The sequence below is a fragment of the Homo sapiens genome, chromosome 6 (genome assembly GCF_000001405.40).
Source record: "Homo sapiens chromosome 6, GRCh38.p14 Primary Assembly".
Classification (NCBI taxonomy): Eukaryota; Metazoa; Chordata; class Mammalia; order Primates; family Hominidae; genus Homo; species Homo sapiens.
Window position 1 is genome coordinate 18,736,643 of NC_000006.12, and position 8,130 is coordinate 18,744,772.

Sequence of the window (8,130 nt, forward strand, 5' to 3'; positions counted from 1 at the left end):
AGCAAAGTAAAGAGAATTAAAAAACCAGAGAAAGAAACAGTAAAGATAAAAGTAGAAATTAATGAGCTATATATAGAAAGATAGTAGATCTAAGATACAATTAACTTGTTAAAATTCTGTTTCTTGAAAACAATTGGTACATAGAAAAAACACCAGCTAACTTAGTCAAGGGAAGAAAAGGAGAAAGAATACACATACATAAACACAAATAAAGAGATGGTAAGGGTGAAATAAACATTGAAATCAGAAGAAAATAAAAAAACAAGAGATATTATCAAATATGACTTTTTCACACTTCTAAGCCAATAAATTTGAAAACTTAGATGGATAATTTTCAAGGAAAATTTTATTTACCAAAATTGGACTCAAAGAAGACAGAAAGCTTAGAAGGATGCTAGGAAAATGCAATAGGCTGATAGGCTGAATGTGCAGGGGAAAAAAAGAACAAAAAAAAAAAAATTTAATTATGTAACAAGATAGTTGACCTCACAGTAAAAAATAACAAATAAATTTTAAAAATTGAAAAAAGTGTATAAACCATGAGGTTACCAACAATACTAACTGTCTCAGTAATGGCACTAAATATATATTTGTTAATATAAAATGCTCATATTAGGTTTTAAACTAAGCTCCATTTGTAAGAGATTGTTAAAACAAAATAACCAAAATTACTTCAATAGAAAAATGAGGCCGGGCGTGGTGGCTCACCTCTCTAATCCCAGCACTTTGGGAGGCTGAGGTGGGTGGATCACCTGAGGTCAGGAGTTCCTGACCAGCCTGGCCAACATGGTGAAACCACGTCTGTACTAAAAATACAAAAATGAGCCAGACATGGTGGCGTGTGCCTGTAATCCCAGCTACCCAGGAGGCTGAGGCAGGAGAATCACTGGAACCCGGGAGGCAGAGGCTGCAGTGAGCCAAGATCGCGCCACCGCACTCCAGCCTAGGTGACAGAGCAAGACTCCATCTGACAAAAAACAAACAAACAAACAAACAAAAAACCGGGAAAATATATATCAGGGAAATACAAACAAAAAGAAATTATGTGTGCCTCTACTGATTGTTAACTGGCAAGCCACCCTTCGTGTTTCTCTCCTTTTTCTTTAATTCTTACATTGATATCCAATAAAACTGATATTAGTTAAGTTGTATTTAAGGGATGCAAGAATGATTTAGTATTTTTTAACTATTAATGCATCAAATTAATTGATTAGAAGGGAGAAACAAAAAAGCTTACAAACACATTCTGAAAAGGTATTTATTAAAAGTCAATATATAATCCTCATCTTTAAAAAATTTTAGCAAATTAGATACCTTGACATTAAGAATATGTCCATTTTAAGCTGAAGCTAATATAATTCGTAACAATGATATGCTCTCAGAGAGTTCAATAACCGAGGTAAGGATACCTACAATTATTATCATTATTTTACATTATTCTGGAAGTTTTCATTAATGCACTGAGGTAAAAAACCATAGTAATTAAAATACCTATGGGAAAGGAAAGTGCAGAATTCTTACAATTATAGGTGGTAGAGCTAGGAATTCCAAGGAAATAAAGTGCTAATCAAATAGAAAGACAGCTCAGATATTTGACCAGATTGAAAACCACACAGATATCAGTAACTTTTCTATAAGCCTGAAATAACTATTTAGAAAATCTAATAAAAATCTTATTCTGAATAGTAGCAAATATATAAAACATATGCAGGAGTGAATTTCTAAAAAGGTAGCAAAGCGAAAAGTTTGCTAAATGACACAAAACAAAATTTTAATAGAGTAAAATGGTGTGGTAAGGACTGATAAAAAAGTGGACTTTTCCAAATTTACTTATTCAGTGAATACAATTCCAATAATAATCGAAGCCTGAATTTTTAAATAGGCAAAGGACTTAAATTGACCTCCTCCAAAGAAAAGATACAAATGGCCAACAAGTAACTGAAGAGATGCTGAACATCGCTAACCATCAGGGAAGTGGAAATCAAAACAGCGGTGAGATATCATTTCATACCTTTTAGGATGGTTATTATAAAATAAAAGATAATAAGTATTGGCAAAGATCTGGAGAAACTGGAACCCTTGTACATTATTGGTGGGAATGTAAAATTGTGCAGCCTCTATGGAAAACAGTATGGAGTTTCCACACACAAAAAAATAGAATTACCACATGATCCAGCAATCTCACTTCTGGGTGAGGGAGGGAAATGGGGAATAGTTCAATAGGTATAAAGTTTCAGTTGTACAAGATGAGTAAGTTCCGGAGATCTCTACAGCATAAGGATTAGAGTTAATAAGGTATTGGGCACTTAACCATTTGTTAACGGTGTAGATCTCATGTTTTGTTTTTACTACAAAAACAAAGTGGCACACACACAAACGTTTTGAAGGTGGTGGATATGCTTATTATCTTGATTGTGGTGATCGCTTCACAGCCATATGCATATGTTCAAACTCATCAAATTATATACATTAAATATGTGCAGTTTTTAGTATATCAATTATACCTCAATAAAGCCATTAAAAATCTAGGCATGTTTTTCAAACAAAATACTTTCTATGTATGTATGATGTATGTACGTGTGTATCTCTCTCTCTATATATATGTGTATATATATATGTGTGTGTGTGTGTGTGTGTGTGTGTATAATTTATCTTTTTGAGACAGTCTCACTCTGTCACCCAGACTGGAGTGCAGTGGCATGACTGCTCACTGCAGCCTTGACCTCCTGGGTTCAACTGATCCTCCCACCTCAGCCTCCTGAGTAGCTGGGACTATAGGTGCATGCCACCATGCCCAACTAATGTTTGATTTTTTTGTAGAAACAAGATCTTGTTATATTGCCCAGGCTGGTCTTGAACTCCTGGTATCAAGTGATCCTCCTGCCTTGACCTTCCAAAGTGCTGGGACTATAGGCATGAGCCATCATGCCCAGCCCCAGAGTATATTTTGAATAATAAATTGGAAAGAATATTTGGGAAATTCCTAGGAAAAGGCATAATAAGGATAGATTTTTCCTATAAGATACTGACATTTTATATAAAGCTAAAATATTGAAAACATGGGATTCTGTGATGTTATAATAAAATAAACATCAAATTTACTAAAAATTAAAATAATGTTCAATCCTTTTTCCTGGACTTCAGAAGGAAAAAATGCTTTTTCAGGAGTTACTGCAGCCATCCATATCAAGTGTGAAAAGTTACCTTCTAGAATGATTCTGTCCATGGTACACAACAGGAAACACCAGGGTACCAACCATTAGGAGTATCTCCTACATTTTACATACCAAAATATGCAGGTCACATGACAAAAAGAGAAATGTATTTGCAACATGACAAATGGATAATATCATTGACTTATTTGTGTTTATGTATATAACTAATACACAAAGATTACTCACAAATCAATAAGAAGAACTTCCTTTTAAAAAAGAGAATGGTCATTTCATCCTCACAATAATAACAAGTGGTTAAAAAGTTCATTTTTACTAGTAATGTAAAATAAAGTATGTTTACAATTTCTTTTCACTATTTGAAACATGAATGTTCAGTATTAGCAGTTATGGGGGAAATAGACACCTGCTTTTGTACACTGCTGATAGGAGCACATGTTTTATATATAATACGTATATATAATCCTTAAAATATTCATATTTTTTAAATTAATAAATTCTCTCTAAGAGTTATTGAAAGGAAAGAATAAGAAAAGCCAAAATGTTTTTATCTTTTTTAAAAAAATGTATTTATTGAATGTCTTCAAATTATACTAATACATTTCTGTTGTAATACATTAAATGATACAATATGAAAAAGTATAAAAACAAAGTTAATTATCTCTCCCTGCCTTCCTTCTACCTATGCTTCGCATTCCTCAGTGGAAACCAATTTTAGTGGTCTGGTATGTACCTTCATACCTATCTCCTTGTTGAAATGAATATATATAGCATATTATCTAAAGGGGTTTGGTTGGTTGATTGTTAGTGCTGAAATGAACTTTAAATACATGCATTATTCTGTAGTATGCTTCTTTCACATGTCAATATATTGTGGGCATTTCTAGAAGTCAGTAAATACAGATCTAAGCTTGCTTTACTAACTTCCTGAGGTAGACAAAAGCAAACAAATATTATATATCATCATAATGGTATAATCATTTCTGTATTCAGTTGTATCATAATCATATGATTATGTTATATTTTACATACATATTATATATTGTATCATACATAATTATACATATTACACATATTTATATATAACAGTTAAAGTAAATTCATGAATTCTCTTTTTTATCTTTTTTCCTCTCTGTCCATTCATTGAGGAATTATTTAGAATATCAAACATCTACAAAGAGATAACTATCCAATAAAAGCAGAACTACTGTGTCATTTGTGGAATACATTTTTATACATTTTTGTGTAATTTGTGATGGATTACTAGGCAGCCACGAAGAAGCCATGTCTTTTGCTCCATGTTTTCTTAGATTCTGTATTTGACATCTGCTCATCACAGGGCAGATTATATTAACTATATTTTCTTATTTTCTGTACTTTTGATACCCTGGCATTTCTCGCTGAGTAGGGAGAGACTGCCCCTCCCAGGGCTAGGCTTTTCCTAGAAATAACATAGGGCTGGCTGGGTGTGGTGTCTCACGCCTATAATCCCAGCACTTTGGGAGGCTGAGGTGGGCAGGTCATGCGGTCAGGAGTTTAAGACCAGTCTGGCCAACATAGTGAAACCCCATCTCTACTAAAACTACAATAAATTAGCTGGGCGTGGTGGCAGGCACCTGTAATCCCAGCTACTCGGGAGGCTGAGGCAGGAGAATCGCTTGAACCCGGGAGGCGGAGGTTGTGGTGAGTCGAGATTGTGTCATTGCACTCCAGCCCAGGCCACAGAGCCAGATGCCTGAAAAAAAAAAAAAAGAACGAACACAGGGCTCAGTCTGGGAGCGTGTTTTTTATATGCAATCCAGCCAATCCCCAACCATTTTTCAGCCATCTCCTTATCTAATTATCAGATACCAAGCCATGTCCCTGGCCCTAAATTATTACAGGGCTAGGTACCAGGCAACTAGACATCACCCCAATGCCCCAAAGCCCGGTAGAATTCTTTAAGCTAGCCATTCCAAAGATTTTTCCTCTGTCCTGCCTTGCCAAACCCCAGTCAGTGCTCTGCCTAGACTTTCCTCTCACTCCTGCTTCTACCTCCTGACCACCCCAGTGTTTTCTCCTGGGCCTTGTGTGGCATGCGGTAACCTCCGCCTCTGGAACCTGTAAGGATAATAAACTTCTTCCTTCCAAGACTCATTCTCATCTTCTCCTGTGGACACACTGACTTCACCATATCAAAGCCAATGTTTACATTCTTAAGACACTTTTCAATGATATTTGCGTAACAGGCAAATTACACAAAACAGTATAAAATGCAACACTCCAATTTCTAATGAATACATGTGTTTGCATACTTAAGAAAGATGTATTAGAAGGAATTACACCCAAATGTTAATAGAGATGATCAGGGGTGGTGTGATACAAGATAACTTCAATGTTTTCCTTTACATTTTAACCTATTTTCCAAAGTTTTACAAGTTTCATTATAAATGTAAATATGTCCATGTATATGTGTCTCTGTCTCCATCTATCTATTATTTTACATGCACAACACTGAATTAAAACCAGCTTTCTAAGTTCCGGAATCTATTTCATATAACAAAATTTCAAAGTGAAGACTTTTAGAATGGCTTATATGTCATGCCATTGTCTTATCCATCCTAGATTCGATTTTTTTTTTTTTGTATTATGACTCTGACTTCCCAAATAAATAAAAGGGCAAAGAATGACACATATCTCCTGGCCTCTTTGATGCAGAAAAGATACCATTGTGAGTATGGTTTTTGTCCAGTGAACTCAGTTATTTTCCAAAACAAAAACTGAGTAACAGCAGAAAACATTACAAGCTCCAATGCAAGGGTTATGACTCAGTCTTTTCCCTCTCTGCAAAATGTACTCTTTGTAAACTACTACCCATGAATGTTCAAGTACTTGGGAAATATTTTCATATGACTTCTGATTTAATTTTGACTCATGCTTAGTGATTTTTCAGTCCACAATGAGGTAGAGTCCAGTGGCGAGTGGATGCCTGCTGTGGAAAAGGGCTTTATCATTTTAATTGCAACCAACTGAAATAGAAACTTTAATGGACTCTCAAACTATTTGCTATCTCATGCCTAAAATGAACATAATCAAGACTTTTATAGATAAACATAGTAAATAATTTTATGCCACATTCATAATATAAACAGAAATTTTTAAAAAATGATGAACTAACAAATTGTGCCAAACTAAGGAATCTGGAACAGGGTGTACAGGGGATGTCTTTGTAGTCTCCCTGGTCATAGGAGCTCACTTCTTGAAAATCAGAGGCCAGGATATTTTTTCTATCATTTAAAATATTCATTGAATATGAGTCAATGAGAAATAAATGTATACAAAAATGTCAAATACATGCCAATATCAGTCTGAATGTGAGATTCTATTTTAGTGAATTCCCAAAAGATATATATACTTCTTAATAAATTTGCTTTTTTATACAAGAATCTAGGGGTGTATGTATTTGTACATATTTATTGCAATATACAGTAGTAGAACTAATGAATAGAAGTGGGAAAAATAATCTTTGGTGATAAGTCAAACTCTTATAAAAATTTCTTTAATTTTTTTTGTAAAAACTCCTATCAAAAAATAATGTTTATCTACCTCAGGCAATTTGTAATCTCTGGTCATAGTGGTTGGTTTTCTATACATAAAGTTATGTTTCCTTAAAGGAAAGATCTGTGATTACAAGTGTTCTGTGTTTGTGAAAGAAATTGGAAATAATTTATAACACTTATAGAATTATAAGCCAATTATCTGTAGAGATGACCTGATTAAAGAAAAATCAGTTTTAAAAATTATAGAAATATGGATATGCTTTGTATTAACAGTATAGGAGAAAAGTAAACATATATTGAAAATATTCATTTAAGATTCATATGATTTTCTGCTATAATAACCTAAATCTATCAAGCTAGATATTTTAAAATGCATCCTTCTAGGATATTTATAACCTAAGGAAAAAATAAGTATATGTAATTCTTTACAAATGAACGCAGTTAGCTTTTTTCTTCTGAGTACATTTTTTTTCCACCATGCAGTCCTTCTAGTCTCTCTTTTAATACCTTGAATATTGTCAAGAACTATGAAAGTTCTAAGATTTTAAGTCTACTTGCAAGCTAAGGAAGTAGATTAAGTAAGCTTGTTAGTTTGTCACAGTTTTATGGATGCTGGTGGAAGACATGAAACTCCTGGATCCAAGACAAAGGATAGTTCATTACTCATAGCAATAATAGTAGCCAGTCTCTCACCATGTTTGGTCAGTTTCCCCTTGCTTCCATGTTCCATAGGGATGAAGTGAATGGACCCAGGTAGATGTCTTATTCACAGTGAGCTTTATTCCAGGAGAGGAATCCTGACTCGGGAAATCTGAATCTTTTATAATGGCAGGAAGTATGCTTGCCCTTTGCTTTGGAAAGAGGTATAATTATTATACAGACTAGTAATCAAATTTGTTCTTTGCTCTGGAGGAAGACACAGTATCTGTCTTTCAAGGTTGTGTGTGCTACAATTGTCCTTGAAAAGATAGTCTAGAACAAAGGGTACCTCTACTTATAAGGTGCAGAAATGGAACAAAGCAGTAGGTACCTATGCTTATAAGGTGCAGAAATGAGAGACATGTGGAGAATTGCCTTCCAACAAATATGTGATGATTTCCCTAAGGAGTGGGTTTCCCAGTCCTAGGAATTCTAGGCTAGTTGGGATTAAGAATTGTGTGTTAAATACCACAGATGCCTCCTATGCACTACCTCTGTGAATCATTGTTTGTCATAAAATACATTGTTGCCTTCAGCATGGAAAAGCTGTGAAGAGATGTGGTAGACAGACTTCTCAGATGATTGCCAATGATTCTCTCCATCATATGATCCTCCAGTTTAATGTGGGTGGAACTTCTGAATACTATGAAATTTCACTCCAGTAATTGTTATATTTTTTAAAAAAGAGCCTGAGCTAATCAGGTGATCTCTTTAAAAGC